Source organism: Homo sapiens, chromosome Y (genome assembly GCF_000001405.40).
Source record: "Homo sapiens chromosome Y, GRCh38.p14 Primary Assembly".
Taxonomy (NCBI): domain Eukaryota; kingdom Metazoa; phylum Chordata; class Mammalia; order Primates; family Hominidae; genus Homo; species Homo sapiens.
This window is the reverse complement of record NC_000024.10, coordinates 10,197,248-10,219,636: the sequence shown is the minus strand read 5'-3', so window position 1 is coordinate 10,219,636 and position 22,389 is coordinate 10,197,248. Positions and strand designations below refer to the sequence as shown.

The following is a 22,389-nucleotide window of genomic DNA, read 5'->3' as shown; positions in this document are numbered from 1 at the left end:
AAGTTTTCTCAGAAACAGCTTTGTGACGTATGTACTCATCTCACTGAGGTAAAGGTTTCTTTTCTCTGGTCAGTCTGGAAACTGTTCTTGTAGAGTCTGCAAAGGGATATTTGTGAGTGCTTTGAGGCCTATGGTGAAAAAGGAAATAGCTTCACATAAAAATTAGTGAGAGGCTTTCTGAGAAACCTCTTTGTGATGTGGGCATTCATCTCACAAAGATGAAACTTACTTTTGATTGAGCAGTATGGAAATGGTCTGTTTGTGGAAACTGCAAAGGGATATTTATGAGCGCTTTGAGGCCAATGGTGAAAAAGGAAATGTATTCATATAAAAGGTATAAAGAAGGTTTCTTAGAAACAGCTTTGTGATGTGTGCATTGATCTCACAGAAGTAAACGTTTATTTTCTCTGATCAGTCTGGAAACTCTCTTCTTATAGAATCTGCAAAGGGATATTTGTGAGTGCTTTGAGGCCTATGGTGAAAAAGGAAATATCTTCACATAAAAACTAGACAGAAGCTTTCTTAGTGGCTTCTTTGTGATGTGTGCAATCATCTCACAGAGTTGAACATTTCTTCTGATTTAGCAAATTGGAAAAAGTATTTTTATAGAATCTGCAAAGGGATATTTATGAGCATTTTGAGGCCTATGGTGAAAAAGCAAGTAACTTCACATAAAATCTAGACAGAAGCATTCTGAGAAACTTCTTTGTGATGTGTGCATTCATCACACAGAGATGAACTTTGTTTTGATTGGGCAGTTTGGAAATAGTCTTTTTGTCGAATCTGCAAATGGATATTTGGAGCACTTTGAGGCCTATGGTGAAAAAGGAAATATATTCACATAAAAACTAGACTGAAGGATTCTGAGAAACTCCTTTGAGATGTGTGCATTCATCTCACAGTGTTCAATAATTCTTTTTATTAAGTGGTTTGGAAACAGTATTTTTGTAGAATATGCAAAGGGATATTTGTGAGTGATTTGAGGTGAGACCTATGGTGAAAAAGGAAATATCTTCACAGAAAATCTATAAAGAAAGTTTCTGAGAAACTTTTTGTGATGTGTGCATTCATCTCACAGAGTTGAAACATTCTTTGGGTTGAGCACTTTGGAAACAGTCTTTTTGTACAGTCTGCAAAGGGATATTTAGGAGCACATTGAGGCTTATGGTGAAAAAGGAAATATCTTCACATAAAAACTAGAAAGAAGCATTCTGAGAAGCTGCTTTAAGCTATGTGTATTCATCTCACAGAGATAAACGTTTCTTTTCATTGAGCAGTTTGTAAACTCTGTTATTCTAGAACCTACAAAGGGATATTTTTGAGTGCTTTGAGACCCATAAGGAAAAAGGAACTATCTTCACATAAAAAACAGAAGTTTGCTGAGAAACTACTTTCTGATGTGCGCATTCACCTAACAGAGTTGAAACTTTCTTTTGATTGAGCAATTTGGCAACAGTTTTTTTTTTTTTTTGTAGATTCTGCAAAGTGTATTTTGGAGTGCATTGAGGCCTATGTTCAAAAAGGGACTGTCTTCACATAAAAACGAGAAGGAAGTTTTCTGAGAAACTTCTTTGTAATGTGCACATTGGTCTCACAGGGTGGAACCATTCTGTTTATTGAGCAGTTTGGAAACAGTCTTTTCATAGAATCTGCAAAGGGATATCTGGGAGCGCATTGAGGCATATGTTGAAAAAGGAAATATCTTCGCATAAAAAGTAGAAAGAAATTTTCTGAGTAACTCCTTTGTGACGTGCACATTCATCACACAGAAGAAAAAGTTTCTTCCCATTGAGCAGTTAGTTTTTATGTGAAGATATTTCCGTTTTCACCATAGACCTCAAACCACCTACATATATCCCTTTGCAGATTCTACAAAAAGACTGTTTCCAAATGGCTCAAAGAAAGCTTCCACTCTGCGAGATGCACACATCACAGAGAAGTTTCTCAGAAATTTCTGTCTAGTTTTTATTTGTTAATACTCCCTTTTTCACCACAGGCCTCAAACTGCTAATAAATAACCCTTTGCATATTCTACAAAGAGACTGTTTCCAAACTACTCAATCAAAAGAAAGGTTTAACTCTGTGAGGTGAATGCACACATCACAAAGAAGTTTCTCAGAAAGCTTCTGTCTAGTTTTTATTTAAAGATGTTTCCTTTTTCCATATAGGCCTCAAAGTGCTCATAAATGTCCCTTTACAGATTTTACAAAAAGACTGTTCCCAAACTGCTCAATGGAAACAAAGCTTCAACTTTTTGAGATGAATGCACACATCACAAAGAAATTTCTCAGAAAGCTTCTGTCCAGTTTTTAAGTGAAGATATTTCTTTTTTCACCGTAAGTCTCAAAGCATTCAAATTATCACTTTGCAGAGTCTACTAAAAGACATTTTCCAACCTGCTCTATCTAAAGAGAGGTTCAAAGTTGTGAGAAGAATGCACAAATCACAAAGAAGTTTCTCAGAATGTTTCTGTCTAGTTTTTATATGAAGACATTTCCTTTTTCACCATAGGCCAAAAAAGGATCCCAAATATCCCTTTGAACATTCTACAAAAGAACTCTTTCAAAATTGCTCAATCCAAAGACAGGCTCAACTCTTTGGGATGAATGCATACATCACAACGAAGTTTCTCAGAAAGCTTCTGTCTAGTTTTTATGTGAAGATATTTCTTTTTTCACCATAGGCTTCAAAGGGCTCACAAATATCGCAAAACAAATCCTACAAAAGGACTCTATCCAAACTGGTCAATGAAAAGAACATTTCAAATCTGTGAGATGAATGAGCACATCACAAAGAATTTTCTCAGAGAGCTTCTTTCTAGTTTTTATGTGAAGATATTTCCATTTTCACCATAGACCTGAAACCGCCTACATATATCCCTTTGCAGATTCTACGAAAAGATTGTTTCCAAACTGCTCAATCAAAGAAAGCTTTCTACTCTGTGAGATGAATGCACACATCACAGAGAAGTTTCTCAGAAAGTTTCTGTCTAGTTCTTTTTTGTTGATACTCCCTTTTTCACCATAGGCCTGAAACCACTCATAAATAACCCTTTGCAGAATCTACAAAATACTGTTTCCAAACTGCTACATCAAACGAAAGCTCAGCTGTGTGTGATGAATGCACACATTACAAAGAAGTTTCTCAGAACGTTTCTGTCTAGTTTTAATGTGAAGATACTTCTTTTACACCAGAAGCCTCAAAGCATTCACAAATTTTCCTTTGCAGATTCTACGAAAAAACTGTTTCCAAACTGTTCAATCCAAAGACAGGTTCAACCCTGTGTGATGAATGCACACATCAGAAAGAACTTTATAAGAAGCCTTCTCTCTAGATATTATTTGTGGATATTTCCTTTTTCACAAGAGGCCTCAAAAATCTCACAAATATCCCTTTGCATATTCTACAAAAAGACTGTTTCCAAACTACTCAACGGAAGAAAATTCAACTCTGTGAGATGAATGCACACATCACAAAATGGTTTCTCAGAATGCTTCTGTCTAGTTTTTATATGAAGATTTCTTTTTTCACCACATGCCTCAAACTGCTCAAGCTCTGAATAGACAAATAACAGGATCTGAAATTGTGGCAATAATCAATAGCTTACCAAACAAAAAGAGTCCAGGACCAGATGGATTCACAGCCGAATTCTACAAGATGTACAAGGAGGAACTGGTACCATTCCTTCTGAAACTATTCCAATCAATAGAAAAAGAGGGAATCCTCTCTAACTCATTTTATGAGGCCAGCATCATTCTGATACCAAAGCCAGGCAGAGACACAACCAAAAAAGAGAATTTTAGACCAATATCCTTGATGAACATTGATACAAAAATCCTCAATAAAATACTGGCAAACAGAATCCAGCAGCACATCAAAAAGCTTATCCACCATGATCAAGTGGGCTTCATCCCTGAGATGCAAGCCTGGTTCAACATACAAAAATCAATTAATGTAATCCAGCAAATAAACAGAGCCAAAGACAAAAACCACATGATTATCTCAATAGATGCAGAAAAGGCCTTTGACAAAATTCAAAAAATCTTCATGCCAAAAACTCCCAATAAATTAGGTATTGATGGGACTATCTCAAAATAATAAGAGCTATCTATGACAAACCCACAGCCAATATCATACTGAGTGGACAAAAACTGGAAGCATTCCCTTTGAAAACTGGCACAAGACTGTCATGCCCTCTCTCATCACTCCTATTCAACATAGTGTTGGAAGTTCTGGCCAGGGCAATCAGGCAGGAGAAGAAAATAAAGGGCATTCAATTAGCAAAAGAGGAAGTCAAATTGTCCCTGTTTGCAGATGATGTGATTTTATATCTAGGAAACCCCATCATCTCAGCCCAAAATCTCCTTAAGCTGATAAGCAACTTCAGCAAAGTCTCAGGATACAAAATCCATGTGCAAAAATCACAAGCATTCCTATACACCAACAACAGACAAACAGAGAGCCAAATCATGAGTGAACTCCCATTCACAATTGCTTCAAAGAGAATAAAATACCTAGGAATCCAACTTACAAGGGATGTGAAGGACCTCTTCAAGGAGAACTACAAACCACTGCTCGAGGAAATAAAAGAGGATACAAACAAATGGAAGAACATTCCATGCTCATGGGTAGGAAGAATCAATATCGTGAAAATGGCCATACTGCCCAAGGTAATTTATGGATTCAATGCCATCCCCATCAAGCTACCAATGACTTTCTTCACAGAATTGCAAAGGGATATTAGAGAGCCCTTTGAGTCCTATGGTGAAACAGGAAATATCTTCATATAAAAACTAGACAGAGGCTTTCTGAGAAACTTCTTTGTGGTGTGATATTTCATTTCAGAGAGTTGAACCATTCTTTGGATTGAGCAGTTTGGAAACAGTCTTTTAGTATAATCTGCAAATGGATATTTGTTGGGCTTTGAGGCCGATGGTAAAAAAGGAAATATCTTGACATGAAAACTAGACAGATGCTTTCTGAGAAACTTTTTTTGTGATGTTTGCATTCAACTCACAGAGTTGAATCTTTCTTTTCATTGAGCAGATAGGAAATAGTGTTTTTGTTCAATATGCAAAAGGATATTTCTGAGTGGTTTGAGCCCTATGGTGAAGAAGAAATGTCTTCACATAAAAACTAGACTGAAGCATTCTGAGAAACTTATTTGTGATGTGTTCATTCATCTCACAGAGTTGAAACTTTCTTTAGATAGGGGAGCTTGGAAAGAGTCTTTTCATAAAATCTGCAAAGGGATATTTGCGAGCTCTTTGAGGCCTATGGTGAAATAGGAAATATCTTCACATAAAAACTAGACAGAAGCATTCTCATAAACTTCTTGTGATGTGTGCACTCATCTTACAGAGTTAAAACTTTCTTTTGACTGAGCAGTTTGGAAACAGTCTTTTTGTGGAATATGCAAAGGGATATTTGTGAACCTATTGAGGCCTGTGGTGAAATGGGAAATATCTTCACATAAAAACTAGACTGAAGCTTTCTGAGAAACTTCTTTGGGATGTGGGCTTTCCTCTCACAGAGTTGAAACTTTCTTTTGATTGAGCAGTTGGGAAGCTGTTTTTTTATAGAATCTGGAAAGGGATATTTGTGAGCCCTTTAAGGTCTATGGTGAAATGGGAAATATCTTCACATAAAAGCTAGACAGAAACTTTCTGAGAAACTTCTTTGTGATGTGTTATTTAATCTCACAGAGTTGAACCTTTCTTTTGATTGAGCAGTTTGGAAACAGTCTTTTTGCAGAGTCTGCAAATGGATATTTGGAGCACATTGAGCCAAGGGTGAAATAGGAAATGGCTTCACATAAAAACTAGACAGAAGCTTTCTGATAAACTTCTTTGTGATGTGTGCATTTATCTCACACAGTTGAACTTTTCTTTGATTTAGCAGTTTGGAAACAGTCTTTTTGTAGAATATGCAAGTGGATATTTGCAGCACTTTGAGGCCCATGGTGAAAAAGAATATCTTCCCATAAAAATTAGACAGAAGCTTTCTAAGAAAATTATTTGAGATGTGTGCATTCATATCACAGAGTTGAACCTTTCTTTTGATTGAGCAGTTTGGAAACAGTCTATTCATAGAATATGCAAATAGATATTTGTAGCACTTTTAGGCCAGTGGTGAAAAAATTTCTCTCACGGAGTTGAAACTTTCTTTTGATTGAACAGTTTTGAAACAGTCTTTTTGTAGAATCTGCAAGGGATAATTCTGAGCCCATTGAGGCCTATTCTGAAAAAGGAAATATCTACACATAAAATCAGACAGAAGTTTTCTGAGAAACTTCTTTGTGATGTGTGCTTTCATATTACAGAGTTGAACCTTTCTTTTGATTGAGCAGTTTGGAAACAATCTTTTTGTAGAATCTGCAAATAGATAGTTTTGAGCAATTTGAGGCCTATGGAGAAAAAGGAAATATCTTCACATAAAAACTAGACCAATGTTTCTGAGAAACTTCTTTGTGATGTGTGCTTTCATCTCATAGAGTTGAACCTTTCTTTTGATTGAGCAGTTTGGAAAAAATCGTTTAGCAGAATGTGCAATTGGATATTTGGAGCACTTTGAGGCCTATGGTGAACAAGGAAATATCTTCACATAAAAACTAGACAAAATCTTTCTAAGAAACTTCTTCATGATGTGTGCATTCATCTCACAGATTTCAACATTTGTTTGGTTTGAGTAGTTTGGAAAAAGTCTTTTTGAAGGATCTGTAGAGGGATATTCGTGTGCGGTTTGAGGCCTCTTGAGGAAAAGGATATATTCACATAAAAACCGGATAGAAGCATTGTGAGGAACTTCTTTGTGATGTGTACATTCGTTTCACAGTGTTGAACTTTTCTTTTGATTTAACAGTTTGGAAACAGTCTTTTCCTAGAAACTGCGAAGTGATATTTGTGAGCCCTTTGAGGCCTATGGTGAAATAGGAAATATCTTCACATAAAAACTAGACAGAAGCTTTCTGAGTATCTTCTTTTGTGATGTTTGATTTCATCTCACAGAGTTGAAACTTCCTTTTGATTGAGTAGTTTGGAAACAGTCTTTTTGTACAATCTGCATAGAAATATTGTGAGTAGATTGAGGCCTATGGTGATAAAGGAAATATCTTCACATAAAAACTAATTAGAAGCTTTTTGAGAAACTTCTTTTTGATGTTTGCATTCGTGTCACAGAGTTGAACCTTTCTTTTCATTGAGCAGTTTGGAAACAGTCTTCTTATACTTTCTGCAATGGGATATTTCTGAGTGATTTGAGGCCTATGCTGAAAAATAAATACCTTCACATAAAAACTAGACAGAAGAATTCTGACAAACTTCTTTTTGATGTGTGCTTTCATCTCACACAGTTGAAATTTCCTTTGATTGAGCAGTTTGGAAACAGATTTTTTGTTGAATCCACAGAAGGATATTTTTGAGTGGTTTGAGCCCTATGCTGAAAAAGAAATATGTTCACATAAAAACTAGATGGAAGATTTCTGAGAAACTTCTTTGGATGTGTGCATTCGTATCACAGAATTGAAACTTTCGTTTGATTGAGCACTTTGGAAACAGTCTTTATTTAGAATCTGCAGAGGGATATTTGTGAACGGTTTGAGGCCTATGGTGAGAAAGGAAATATCTTCACATAAAAACTAGAGAGAAGCCTTCTGAGAAACTTCTTTATGATGTATGCCTTCATGTTACAGAGTTGAACCTTTCTTTTCATTGAGCAGTTTGGCAAAAGTCTTTTTGTACAATCTGCAAAGTGATTTTTGTGAACGCTTTGAGACTTGTGGTGACAAAGGAAATATCTTCACATAAAAACTAGAGAGAAATCTACTGAGAAACTTCTTTCTGATGTGTGCATTCATCACAGAGAGTTGAAAATTTCCTTTGATTGAGCAGTTTGGAAACAGTATTTTTGTAGGATCTGCCAAGGGATATTTGGAGTGGCTTGAGGCCTATGGTGAAAAAGGAAATATGCCCTAATAAAATCTAGATAGTAAAGTTCTGAGAAACTTCTTTGTGATGTGTGTATTAATCTCACAGACTTGAAACTTTGCTTTGATTGAGCAGTTTGGAAACAGTCTTTTTGTAGAATCTGCATAGGGATAGTTGTAAGCCCATTGAAGCCTGTCTTGAAAAAGGAATTATCTTCACATAAAAACTAGACAGAAGCTTTCTGAGAGACTACTTTGTGATGTGTGTGTTCATCTCACAGAGTTGAACCTCTCTTTTCATTGAGTAGTGTGAAAACAGTCTTTTTTAGAAACTGCAAGGAATATTTGTGAGTGGTTTGAAACCTATGGTGAAAAAAGAATTATCTACTAATAAAATATAAACAGAAGCTTTCTGAGAAACTTCTTTGTGATGTGTGCATTCATCTCATGTAGTTGAACTTTTGTTTTGATTGAGTAGTTTTTAAACAGTCTTTTTGTACAATCTGCAAAGTGATATCTGTGAAAGCTTTCAGTCTTATGGTGAGAAAGGAAATATCTTCACTTAAACCTATAAAGAAGCTTTCTGAGAAACTTCTTAAGGATGAGTACATTCATCTCACAGAGTTGAACATTTGTTTTTATTCACCAGTTCAAAAACAGTCTTTTTGTAGAATCTGTAAGGAGACATTTTTGAGCTCTTTGAGGCCTATGGTGAAAAAGCAAATATCTTTACATAAAAACTATACAGAAACTTTCTGAGAAACTTCTCTGAGATGTGTGCATTGGTCTCACAGAGTTTAACCTTTGTTTTGATTGAGTAGTTTGGAAACAGTCTTTTTGTAGAATCTGTAAAGGGATATTTGAAGGCATTTTGAGGCATATGGTGAAAAAGGAATTATCTTCACATAAAAACTAGACAGAAGCTTTCTGAGAAACTTCCTTTTGATGTGTGCATTCATCTCACAGAGTTGAAACTTTCTTTTGACTTATCGAGTTGGAAACAGTCTTTGTAGAATAGGCAAAGGGATATTTATGAGCAGTTTGAGGTCTGCAGCGAAAAAGGAGATATCTTCACATAAAACCTAGAGAGAAGCATTCTGAGAAACTTCTTTGTGATGTGTGCATTCATCTCAGAGAGTTGAACCTTTCTTTTCATTCAGCAGTTTGGAAACCGTCTTTTTGTAGAATCTGAAAAGTGATATGTTTCAGCGGTTTGAGTCCTATGGTGAAAAAGGAAATATCAAAAAACAAAATGTAGACAGCAGCTTTCTGAAAAACTTCTTTTTGATGTGTGTATTCATCTCACAGTGTTGAAACTTTCTTTTGATTGAACAGTTTGGAAACAGTCTTTTCATAGAAGCTGCAAAGAGATACTTGTGAACGCTTGGAGGCTTATGGTGAAAAAGGAAATATCTTCACATAAAAACTAGACTCATGTTTTCTGGGAAACTTCTTTATGATGGGTGTATGCATCTCAAAGAGTTGAATCTTTCTTTTGATTGAGCAGTTTGGAAACATTCTTTTTGGAGAATCTGCAAAAGGATGTTTTTTTTCTTTCTTATTTTTTTTTTTTATTATTATACTTTAAGTTTTAGGGTACATGTGCACACTGTGCAGGTTAGTTACATACGTATACATGTGCCATGCTGGTGTGCTGCACCCACTAACTCGTCAGCTATCATTAGGTCTATCTCCCAATGCTATCCCTACCCCCTCTCCCCACCCCACAACAGTCCCCAGAGTGATGTTTCCCTTCCTGTGTCCATGTGTTCTCATTGTTCAATTCCCACCTATGAGTGAGAATATGCGGTGTTTGGTTTTTTGTTCTTGCGATAGTTTACTGAGAATGATGATTTCCAATTTCATCCATGTCCCTACAAAGGACATGAACTCATCATTTTTTATGGCTACGTAGTATTCCATGGTGAATATGTGCCACATTTTCTTAATCCAGTCTATCGTTGTTGGACATTTGGGTTAGTTCCAAGTCTTTGCTATTGTGAATAATGCCGCAATAAACATACGTGTGCATGTGTCTTTATAGCAGCATGATTTATAGTCCTTTGGGTATATACCCAGTAATGGGATGGCTGGGTCAAGTGGTATTTCTAGGTCTAGATCCCTGAGGAATCGCCACACTGACTTCCACAAGGGTTGAACTAGTTTACAGTCCCACCAACAGTGTAAAAGTGTTCCTATTTCTCCACATCCTCTCCACACCCGTTGTTTCCTGACTTTTTAATGATTGCCATTCTAACTGGTGTGAGATGGTATCTCATTATGGTTTTGATTTGCATTTCTCTGATGGCCAGTGATGGTGAGCATTTTTTCATGTGTTTTTTGGCTGCATAAATGTCTTCTTTTGAGAAGTGTCTGTTCATGTCCTTTGCCTACTTTTTGATGGGGTTGTTTGTTTTTTTCTTATAAATTTGTTTGAGTTCATTGTAGAATCTGGATATTAGCCCTTTGTCAGATGAGTAGGTTGTGAAAATTTTCTCCCATTTTGTAGGTTGCCTGTTCACTCTGATGGTAGTTTCATTTGCTGTGCAGAAGCTCTTTAGTTTAATTAGATCCCGTTTGTCAATTTTTTCTTTTGTTGCCATTGCTTTTGGTGTTTTAGACATGAAGTCCTTGCCCACGCCTATGTCCTGAATGGTAATGCCTAGGTTTTCTTCTAAGGTTTTTATGGTTTTAGGTCTAACGTTTAAGTATTTAATCCATCTTGAATTGATTTTTGTATAAGATGTAAGGAAGGGATCCATTTTCAGCTTTCTACATATGGCTAGCCAGTTTTCCCAGGACCATTTATTAAATAGGGAATCCCTTCCCCATTGCTTGTTTTTCTCAGGTTTGTCAAAGATCAGATAGTTGTAGATATGCGGCGTTATTTCTGAGGCCTCTGTTCTGTTCCATTGATCTATATCTCTGTTTCGGTACCAGTACCATGCTGTTGTGGTTACTGTAGCCTTGTAGTATAGTTTGAAGGCTGGTAGCGTGATGCCTCCAGCTTTGTTCTTTTGGCTTAGGATTGACTTGGCATTGCAGGCTCTTTTTTGTTTCCATATGAACTTTAAAGTAGTTTTTTCCAATTCTGTGAAGAAAGGCATTGGTAGCTTGATGGGGATGGCATTGAATCTGTAAATTACCTTGGGCAGTATGGTCATTTTCATGATATTGATTCACATATGTATATATGTGTCTACATATACATATACATATATGTGTGTGTGTGTATATATATATATATATCTCGTATTTCCACTCACTGGAGGCCTTTGGTCTTTCAATGCTAGATTCACTGATTTCTGGTCCCATGCTTATGTTGATTACTAGCTAGTGTATGTAGACTCCTTAAATTTAAGGAGTTGAGAGAACTCTTCATATCACCAAGTTGATTTCTTTAGTCTTCTCCCTGTCAAAGACCAGGTTGCCCTAGATATCAGAGACAGCTGTTTTTTCCATAAAAAATAAAGGTCCTGTCTCCCTCTCACTAGCCACCAAGCCCAGTTTCTTGTCATGGAGGATTGCTTCATAGATAACTTTAAAACTCCAGTAATTTCTCACAAGGTTGCTGTCGACCACCTGAACATAAACTTCGTCATGGAGCCTCTGAAACCCCTGAAGCCTCAGAACGGGAAGTTTCAGAAGGCTCTTTGCACTGTTGAGGTTCTACAAAAGGACTGTTTCCAAACAGCTTAATCAAAAGAAAGGTTCAAATACATGCGATGAATGCACACATTATGAAGAAGTTTTTCAGAATGCTTCTGTCTAGTTTTTGTGTGAAGATATTTCTTTATCTCCATAGGTCTGATAACACTGATATATCCCTCTGCAGATAGTACAAAAAGACTGTTTGCAATCTGCTGAATCAAAAGAAAGCTTCTACTCTGTGAGAAGAAAGAACACATCATAAGGATGTTTCTCAGAATGCTTCTGTCTGGTTTTCTGTGAAAATATTTCCTCTTGGCCTCAAAGCACTACAGATATCCATTTGCAGATTCTACAAAAAGACATTTACAAACTGCTCAATCAAAAGTTTCAACACTGTGAGATGAATGCATGCATTACAAAGTAGTTTATCAGAAAGCTTCTGTTTAGTTTTTATGTGAAGATATTTCCTTTTTCACCATAGGCCTCAAAGCGCTTCAATTATCCATTTGCAGATTCTGCAAAAAGAGTTTTTCCAAACTGCTCAGTCAAAAGAAGTGCTCAACTCCTTGAGATGAAAGCACTCATTTAAAAGAAGTTTCTCAGAAAGCGTCTGTCTAGCTTTTATGTGAAGATATTTCCTATATCACCCATCACAAAAAAGTTTCTCAGAATGTTTCTGTGTAGTTTTTATATGAAGATATTTCCTACTTCACCATAGGCCTCAAAGGCTTCACAATTATCCCTTTGTAGATTTTACAAAAAGACTGTTTCCAAATCTTCAATCAAAGAAATGTTCGACTGTGTGAGATGAATACAAACGTCACCAAAAAGTTTCTCAGAATGCTTCCATCTAATTTTTATGTGAAGATATTTCCTTTTTCACCATAGGCCTCAAAGGGCTCCAAATATCCATTTGCAGATTGTACAAAACACTGCTTCCAACCTGCTTAATCGAAGGAAATGTTCAACTCTGTGAGATGAAAGCATAAATCACAGAGAAGTTTCTCAGAAAGCTACTGTTTAGTTTTTATATGAAGATATTTCCTATTTCACCCTAGGCCATAAAGGGCTCACAAATATACCTTTGCAGATGCTACAAAAATGCTGTTACCAAACTGCTCAATCAAAAGAAAGTTTCAACTCCGTGAGATGAATGGACACATCACAAAGTAGTTTCTAAGAATGCTTCTGTCTAGTTTTTGTGGGAAGATATTTCTTTTTCACCATAAGCCTCAAATGGCTCAGAAATATCCCTTTGCAGATTGTACAAAAAGACTGTTTCCAAACTGTTCAATGAAAAGAAAGGTTCAACCCTGTGAGATGAATTCAAACGTCCAAGAGGTTTCTCAAAATACATCTATCTAGTTTTTATGTGAAGGCATTTACTTTTTCACCACATGCCTCAAACGGCTCACAAATATTCCCTTTGCAGATTCTACAAAAAGACTGTTTCCAAACTGCTCCATGAAAAGAAAGGTTAAACTCTGTGAGATGAAAGCTCTCATCACAAAGAAGTTTCTCAGAATGCTTCTGTCTAGTTTTTATGTGAAAAGTTTCCTTTTTCACCATAGACCTAAAACTGCTTCAAATATACATTTGTGGATTCTATGAAAAGTCTATTTCTAACTGCTCAATCAAAAGAACTGTTCAACTCTGTGAGATGAATGCACACATCACAAAAAAGTTTCTCAGAAAGCTTCCATTTAGTTTTTATGTGAAGATATTTCCTTTTTTACCATGGGCCTCAAAGTGCTCCAAATATCCATTTGCAGATTCTACAAAAAGAGTATTTCCAAACTGCTCAATCAAAAGAGAGGTTCAACTCTGTGAGATGGAAGCACAGATCACAAAGAAGTTTCTTAGAAACCTTCAGTCTAGTTTTTATGGGAAGATATTTCATATTTCACCATAGACCTCAATGGGCTCAGAAATATACCTTTGCAGATTCTACAAAAGGATTGTTTCCAAACTGCTCAATCCAATGAAAGATTCAACACTGTGAGATGAATTCATACATCACAAAGAAGTTTCTCAGAAAGCTTCTGTCTAGTTTTTATGTGAATATATTTCCTTTTTCACCATAAGCCTCAAACCACTCTCAAACATCCCTCTGGAGATACTATATAAAGATTGTTTCCAAGCTGTTCAATCAAAAGAAAGGTTCAACTCTGTGTGGTAAATGCACATGTCACCAAGAAGTTTCTCAGAATGCTTCTGTCTAGTTTTTATGTGAAGATATTTCCTTTCTCAGCAAGTCTTCAAACTGCTCCAAATATCCATATGCAGATTCTACAAAAAGATGGTTTCTGATCTCCTCAATGAATAGAAAGGTTCAACTCTGTGAGATGAAAGAACACATCACAAAGAAGTTTCATAGAATGTTGCTTTCTAGTTTTTATGTGAAGATATTTCCTTTTTCACCATAGTCCTCAAAGTGCTTCAAATATCCATTTGCAGATTTTACAAAAAGTGTGTTTCCAAACTGCTCAATCAAAAGAAAGGTTCAACTCTGTGGGATGAAAACACACATCACAAAGAAGTTTCTCAGAAATCTTCTGACTAGTTTTTATGTGAAGATATTTCCTATTTCACCGTAGGCCTCAATGGGCTCACAAATATCCCTTTGCAGATTCTACAAAAGGACTGTTTTGAAACTCCTCAATCAGAAGAAAGGTTCAACTCTGTGAGATGAATGTATACATCACAAAGAAGTTTCTCAGAATGCTTCTGTCTAGTTTTTATGTGAGGATATTTCCTTTTTCACCTTAGGCCTCAAAGAGCTCCAAATATCCATTTGCATATTCTACAGAAAGACTGTTTCCAGACTCCTCAATCAAAAGGGAGGTTCAACACTGTGAGATGAAAGCACACTTCACAAAGCAGTTTCTCAGAATGCTTCTGTCTAGTTTCTATGTGAATATATTTCCTATTTCAACTTAGGCCATAAAGGGCTCACATATATCCCTCTGCAGATTCTAGAAAATTATAGAAAAGGACTCTTTCCAAACTGCTCAATCAAAAGAAAGGTTCAACTCTGTGAAATGAATGCACACATCACAAATAAGTTTCTCAGAAAGCTTCTGTCCAGTTTTTTTGTGAAGATATTTCCCTTTTCACCATACCTATCAACACGCTCAAAATATGCCTTTGCAGATTCTCTGAAAAGACTGTTTCCAAACTTCTCATTCAAAAGAATGGTTCAACTCTTTGAGATGAATGCACATATCACAAAGAAGTTTCTCTGAAATCTTCTGTCTAGTTTTTATGTGAAGATATTTCCTTTTTCACCATAGGCCTCAAGCTTCTCACAAATATCCCATTGCAGATTTTACAAGAATAGAGTTTCCAGACTCATCAAAGAATAGAAACTTTTATCTCTCTGTGTTGAATGCACACCTTGCAAAACAGCTTCTCAGAAACATTCTTATAGTTTTTATTGAAGATATTTCCTTTTTCACCATAAGGCTCAGAGAGCTGAAAAATATCCCTTTGCTGATTCTACAAAAATACTGTTTCCAAACTGCTTAATCAAAAGAATCATTCAACTCTGTGAGATGAATGCACACATAGCTAGGAATTTTCTCAGAAACTTCTGTCACGTTTTTATGCGATGATATTTCCTTTTTCACCATAGGCCTCAAACTGCTCACAAATATCCCTTTGCAGATTCTACAAGAAAAGAGCTTCCCATCTGCTACATGAAAAGAAACGTTTACCTCTGTGAGATGAATGCACACATTGCAGAGCAGTTTCTCAGAAACCTTCTGTCTAGTTTTTATGTGAAGATATTTTCTTTTTCACCATAGGCCTCAAAGCACTCACAAATATCCCCTTGCATATTCTACAAAAAGACTGTTGGTGAACTTCTCAAAGGAATGGTTCAACTCTGTGAGATGAGTGCACACATCACACAGATGTGTCTCAGAAAGCTTCTGTCTAGTTTTCATGTGAAGATATTTACTTTTTCACCATAGGCCTCAAAGTGTTCACAAATATCCCTTTGCAGATTCTTCAAAAAGACTGTTTCCAAAATGCTCAATCAATAGAAAGGTTCAACTCTGTGAGATTCATTCACACATCACAAAGTAGTTTCTCAAAAACCTTCCTTCTAGTTTTTTATGTGAAGATATTTCCTTTTTCACCATAGGCTTCAAAGCACTCACAAATATCCCTTTGCAGATTCTACAAAAAGACTGTTACCAAACTACTCAATCAAAAGAATGGTTCAACTCTGAGATGAATGCACACATCACAAAACAGTTTCTCAGAAAGCTTCTCTCTAGTTTTTATGTGAAGATATTTCCTTTTTCACCATTGGCTTCCATGTGCTCACAAATATCTCTTTGACAATTCTACAAAAATACTGTTTCCAAACTGCCCAATCCAAAGAATGCACACACAAACAGGAAGTTTCTCAGAAACTTCTGTCAAGTTTTTATGGGATGATATTTCCTTTTTCACGATAGGCCTCAAACTGCTCACAAATACCCCTTTGTGGATCCTACAAGAACAGAGTTTCCAATCTGCTCAATGAAAAGAAGCCTTTACCTCTGTGAGATGAATGCACACATCACAAAGCAGTTTCTCATAATCCTTCTTTCTAGTTTTTATGTGAAGATATTTCCTTTTTCACCATAGGCCTCAAAGCACTCACAAATATCCCTCTGCAGATTCTGCAAGAACACCATTTCCAAGCTTTTCAATCAAAAGAATGGTTTAACTCTGTGAGATGAATGCACATGTCACAAAGTAGTTTTTCAGAAAGCTTCTGTCTAGTTTTTATGTGAAGATATTTCCTTTTTCACCATAGACCTCAAAGCACTCACAAATATCACTTTGCAGATTGTACAAGAACTGAGTTTCCAGACTTATCAAAGGAATGAAACGTTTAACTCTGTGAGATGAATGCAGACATCACAAAGCAGTTTCTCCCAAACCTTCTTTAGAGTTTTTATGTGAAGGTATTTCCTTTTTCACCATGGCCTCAAAGCGCTCACAAATATCCCTTTGCTGATTCTACAACAACAGAATTTCCAAACTGTTCATAATTAGTTTTTAGGACCAACATGAGAGTTTAGACATACTGCTTGTGGTGCAGCACACATGTATTATCCACACTGAAATTAGGAATTCAACTGAAGTTCATGTGGAGGCGAAAATGTGAATATTTGGGGGACCTTGGAGATGATCTATCTCACTTTATTTTGCAGAAAAGAAAACATATTCAGGGAAAGGGCATGCATTGCCTAAGGTGATTCATCAGGTTTGGAGCAGAAACGCAAAACAGAAATACTGTTCTTTTGCTTCTCAGATCAAGAATTTTTTCACAATACTGAACTACTTATGTTCCTGATTCCTTAATTTTCTTTTTAAATTTTGCCAATATTGTCTTACAAAGATCCTATTCTTTACCCTAAAGATTTAAATCTGTTACCATTATTGTCTCTTTATAAGTAAAATTACTTGTTGTTATTATAAATGATTATTCAATCAATTTTCATTTTTTGGTGGTCCAGTACAAATTTAGTAACAAATAAACACTATTGGCCTTGACAATCCAAGAGGAGCTCAAGTCCTCCAGGGCACGTCAGGAAAAGGCTAAATGACAGCTGTGCTGTGAATGGACAGAATACAGCTCTCATACAGATTATTGCATATTTGATGTTCTTCAACAATTCCATTAATCTTCAGTTTCTTTCCTCTTTGAAGTGAAAGTCTGCTATGACTTTCAAGTTTCTTTTGAAATAACTATAGATTCACAGGAAGTTGCAAAATGTACAGGGATGTCTTAGGTACTCTTCACTAATTCCAGTGGTGGCATCTCCCATAGCCATAGAGCATTATCAAAACCTGGAAACTGACATAGGTACAATTCAGAAAGCTTACTCAGATCGCAACCGTTTTGTATGCATTCATTTTTGTATGTGTGTATGTGTGTGAGTGTGTTCTGTGCATTTTTATGTGGTGTAGATCTCTGTAACTACCACTTCCACAGTCAAGATACAGAACCGTAGCCTCACCACCAGGTTCCAACTTGCAATCTTTGCTGACACTCTGACACGTTTTCCTCCACCCCTTCCGCTTGGCAACCCCATAGTCTGTTCTCCATCTTTACAATTTTATTTCAATAATTTATATAAATGTAATTGTGCAAAATCGAATTTTTAAAGGGAAAAAACAAGTCACAGATAGTTTTGTTAGCACTGTAAAATAGTTTTTAACATTCATCTGTTTTATGTTCTATTTGTCTCAAAAAAATGTGCTTTGTTCTTTCCTGTACTTTCTGATATCAGGATAGGAAATCAATAGCAAACAAAACAATTCCATTCATTTTTTTCCACAGCTTGGTTTTCACTGATGTTGCATAACATTTATTTTTCTATTTACTCTTTTTCTCTGTTTTCCGTCACACAAAAGTAACTTTGTGTACTTTATCTCTTCTAAGAAAACTTGGTAATGAGTCTTTAATGTGAATCCCGGAGCACCCTTGTTTTGATTTTGTGTTATGGGTGTTCTTTTCTGTGATCGTTCTCATGGAGAGTTCTTGTGAAGCTGGGATTTTCCAGTGGTTTGTCAAAAAGGAAATAGATATTTAACAAACCAAACACAAAATGACCTTGCTCCAGGAATGCATCATTTGTGAGAAAACACTACATCTTCCAACTAGAGATTGTGAATATTACTCTTATTATCCTTTACTCCCTTTTATTAAAACTGTATTTTTTTACACATTTGTATAACTCAGGTAATGAAATGTGAAACTAAGTGATTGCCTACCAATTACAATTGATGTTAATGATGCTACTGGGAGGCCACCCCTACAGTGGCTGCACCAAGTCTAGGGACTTGCTAGCTTTGATAAGTTACATGGGATTGCCTATGTACTAAATGTAGGTGGGGGACGGGTCCAAGGATGTGGCAGCACCATTCCGCCCTGACATCAAAGCTCTGGACGGGGCGCCAGGCACCGCGCAGCCAAGAGCAGGAGGTGGGCACCTGATGGCATATGACACTGTAGCATCCAGGGGACCATCACCAGGGGCAAACGAACCCCGGGACCATGGCCATGAACGCTGCCAGATGGGCCGCTTGGTGGGCTTCTGGCCCCGGACACACCGCGTCACAAGCCAGGCAGGTGGGGGGCAGGCAGGAGAAGAGGACGGTGCCTGGGAGGGGTGATGGGGAGGAGGGGCACTGGAGCGGCGGTCGGCCAGTCGCCGGGCTGCCACCAGGGGTGGGCAGCAAATTGCGGCAACTGGGACACGCTCCCCCACCCTCTCCCCAGTGGACCCTTCCTACTTGCCATCCTCCCCGCCCAACAAGCCCCCACCACCGATGATGCGCAACGACAATGATGGCACAGGACCATCCACCCCACCAGCACCAACAAACCCTGCACTACGAGCTGTGTGAGGCAGGAGGGAGCCCCCGAGGGAAGAAACAGGACCGTGGTGGTGGCCACAGGAACTCGACCCCAGTGGGCTCTCTTCCCTCTCTGTTTTTGCAGGTGATGGCTCCACTCTCTCTCTCTTCCTCACAGCCAGGAGCCCCTCTTCCCCACACCACCCAACCCGTGACCACACAGGACCTGTGGTGGGGGTGGGGGGGAAGGGGCAGGCATGGCAGGAGAGGAGGGCGGATGTCGCCGGGTCTGCACTTGGGGGGATGGAGGTCCCCAGTGGGCCCTGCCATGGAACCCCCAGCCGTGCACCCCAGGGAGCCTGGGGGCACCCTCAGGGGCTAATGATTGGCAAGCAAAGCTCAGACAGGCATAGCCCTGGGAGGAACCCGGGCCGCAAGTGCGTTCGAAGTGTCGATGATCAATGTGTCCTGCAATTCACATTAATTCTCACAGCTAGCTGCATTCTTCATCAACGCAGGAGCCGAGTGATCCACCGCTAAAAGTCATACAAGGTCAATTTGGCAAGGGCGCTCCCAACAATGGGAGGCCCTCCTGGCACAGCACGTCCCCCAGAGGGGTTACCTCAGGCCGGCCAGTCAGACAGCAATGGGACGAGACTCCAGAGAGGGGTTGGAAGGTTTCACAACATGGGGAGGTGGTGCCGTCCATGGGGGTGGGAGGGACAAATGCTGACACCACCCCACGGGCTCCCTGGGGTTCCTGCCCCCACAGCACAGGGCATACGCCACATGCGTGGCACACATGCGACAGCACGATGGCCACTGTGTACAGCCCCCACCGGCATCAGCGGCGACATGCAAGTGCAGCGCGGCCCCGGCAGCTGGGGAGACGGAGTCAGCAGTGGAGGTGAGGGAGGGGCAGACCCCTCCCAAATGGACTCCCCCGTGGGCCCACAGCACCCAACCCACGGGTGGACTGATGACCCCCCCCAAGGGGTCCTTAAACCTCCGCACCAGAACGAGCTGGGTACCTGGATGGTGGAGGCGGACAAGGAGTGGGGGCTGGCGTCCAGCCCCCTACCCTCGAGAAGCCCTAGTGGGAAGGCTGGGGAGAGCCAGTGGGCCAGGCCGGGCCAGGTGGAGCGGTGTGGCAGATGCGATGATGGTGGCAGTGGCAGCGATGCGAACCTGGCCGGCCCCAATGGGAGCAGGTGGGATGGGGCCGAGCCGGCAGGACAGGGAGGGATGACAGCCCCGGCGGAGAGGACACAGAGACCCACAACTCGTCGTGATGCCAAGAACCACCCCCACGCCCGCCGACACACATGTGGGGGCCACGGCAGGGGACAGTTCCCCGCTGCTCACCAGGCCGGTGAGCCATCCAGCCCGCCCCCCGACTCGCACACACAGTTTCATCCCCGCACGTGTGTCTCTCTCTACCCTCTCTCTCCCTCCCGAGTTCTCTGGCTCTCGGGGCAGGCGGGGCCATGCAACAAACAAATGGCACAACCCCGCCAGCACACGTGCCGCATGGGGAACACAGTCGGCCAAGAAGGAAGGACGCAGTAGCGCCTCTGCAGCTTTGCTCTTCTCCGTTAATGATCCCTCGACAGGTTCAACTATGGAAATTTTGTTATGACTTTTACTTCCTCTAGATAGTCAAGTTCGACTGTCTTCTCAGTGCTCCACCAGGGCAGTGGGCTGACCCGGCGGGGCCGATCCAAGGGCCTCACTAAACCATCCAATCAGTAGTAGCGACTGGCAGTGTGTACAAAGGGTAGGGACTTCACGCAAGCCTATGACCCACACTTACTGGGAATTCGTCATTCATGGGGAATAATTGCAATCCCCGATCACCATCACCAATGGTGTTCAACAGGTTACCCGCGTCTGCCACGTAGGGTAGGCACACGCTGAGCCAGTCACTGTAGCGTGCGTGCAGCCCCAGACATCTAAGGGCATCACAGACGTGTTATTTCTCAATCTCGGGTGGCTAAATGCCACTTATCCCTCTAAGAAGTTGGGGGATGCTGACCGCTTGGGGGTCGCGTAACTAGTTAGCATGCCAGAGTCTCCTTCATTATCGGAATTAACCAGACAAATCACTCCACCAACTAAGGCCATGCACCACCACCCATGGAATCAAGAAAGACCTATCAATCTGTCAATCCTGTCCATGTCCGGGCCGGGTGAGGTTTCCCATATTGAGTCAAATTAAGCTGCAGGCTCCACTCCTGGTGGTGCCCTTCCACCAATTCCTTTAAGTTTCAGCTTTGCAACCATACTCGCCTGGGAACCCAAAAACCCAAAGACTTTGGTTTCTGGGAAGCTGCCCAGCGGGTCATGGAAATAACACCGCTGCATCACCAGTTGGCATCGTTTATGGTCGGAACAACGACGGTATCTGATCGTCTTCGAAACTCCGACTTTCGTTCTTGGTTAATGAAAACATTCTTGGCAAATGCTTTAGCTCTGGTCCGAACTGCACCAGTCCAAGAATTTCACCTCTAGTGGCACAATACGAATGCCCCCAGCCATCCCTCTTAATCATGGCCTCAGTCCTGAAAACCAACAAAAAAGAATGGCGGTTCTATTCCATCATTCCTAGCTGAGATATCTAGGTGGCTCAGGCCTGCTTTGAACAGTCTAACTTTTTCAAAGTAAACGCTTTGGGCCACGGGACACTCAGCTAAGAACATCGAGGGGGTGCTGAGAGGCAAGGGGCGGGGACGGTCCATGGCTAGCCTGCCCGCCCACTCCCAAGATCTAACTACGGGCTTTTTAACAACTTTAATATATGCTATTGGAGCTGGAATTACTGTGGCTGCTGGCACCAGACTTGCCCTCCAATGGATCCTCCTAAAGGATTTAAAGTAGACTCATTTCAATTACAGGGCCTCGAAAGAGTCCTGTATTGTTATTTTTCATCAGTACCTCCCCCGGTCGGGAGTGGGTAATTTTTGCACCTGCTGCCTTCCTTGAATGTGGTAGCTGTTTCTCAGGCTCCCTCTTCAGAGTGGAACCCTGATTCCCCATCACCCATGGTCACCGTGGTAGGCACAGCAACTACCATCGAAAGTTGATAAGGCAGATTTTTGAATGGGTCGTCGCTGCCACTGGGGGCATGCCATTGGCCTGAGGTTATCTAGTGTCACAAAAGCTGGTGGCACCTGACCCTCCGGCCGGGGCTGGAGAGGGGCTGACTGGGTTGGTTTTGATCTGATAAATGCACGCATCTTCCCCGCGAAGGGGGTCAGCGCCCTTTGGCATGTATTAGATTTAGAATTACCACAGTTTTCCAATTAGGAGAGGAGCGAGTGACCAAAAGAACCATAACTGATTTAATGAGCCATTTGCAGTTTCACTGGACCGGCCCTGCGTACTTAGACATGTATGGCTTAATCTTTGAGACAAGCATATGGTTCTGGTAGGATCAACCATGTAGGTAGAAA

General features: G+C 39.9%; 2 pseudogenes, besides 3 other annotated features; both read right to left on the bottom strand.

Annotated features, from left to right (window-relative positions):
* Positions 12,566-13,067: an enhancer, noted in NCBI's record as "NANOG hESC enhancer chrY:10044179-10044680 (GRCh37/hg19 assembly coordinates)". NCBI's record gives its function as "activates a minimal SCP1, AML or CMV promoter by ChIP-STARR-seq in primed H9 embryonic stem cells {active_cell/tissue: H9 hESC(primed)}" and the evidence as "EXISTENCE:reporter gene assay evidence [ECO:0000049][PMID:30033119]".
* Positions 13,221-14,140: an enhancer, noted in NCBI's record as "OCT4-NANOG hESC enhancer chrY:10043106-10044025 (GRCh37/hg19 assembly coordinates)". NCBI's record gives its function as "activates a minimal SCP1, AML or CMV promoter by ChIP-STARR-seq in primed H9 embryonic stem cells {active_cell/tissue: H9 hESC(primed)}" and the evidence as "EXISTENCE:reporter gene assay evidence [ECO:0000049][PMID:30033119]".
* Positions 14,141-15,061: an enhancer, noted in NCBI's record as "OCT4-NANOG hESC enhancer chrY:10042185-10043105 (GRCh37/hg19 assembly coordinates)". NCBI's record gives its function as "activates a minimal SCP1, AML or CMV promoter by ChIP-STARR-seq in primed H9 embryonic stem cells {active_cell/tissue: H9 hESC(primed)}" and the evidence as "EXISTENCE:reporter gene assay evidence [ECO:0000049][PMID:30033119]".
* RNA5-8SP6 (RNA, 5.8S ribosomal pseudogene 6) lies at positions 19,331-19,482 on the bottom strand (annotated as a pseudogene).
* RNA18SP2 (RNA, 18S ribosomal pseudogene 2) lies at positions 20,533-22,380 on the bottom strand (annotated as a pseudogene).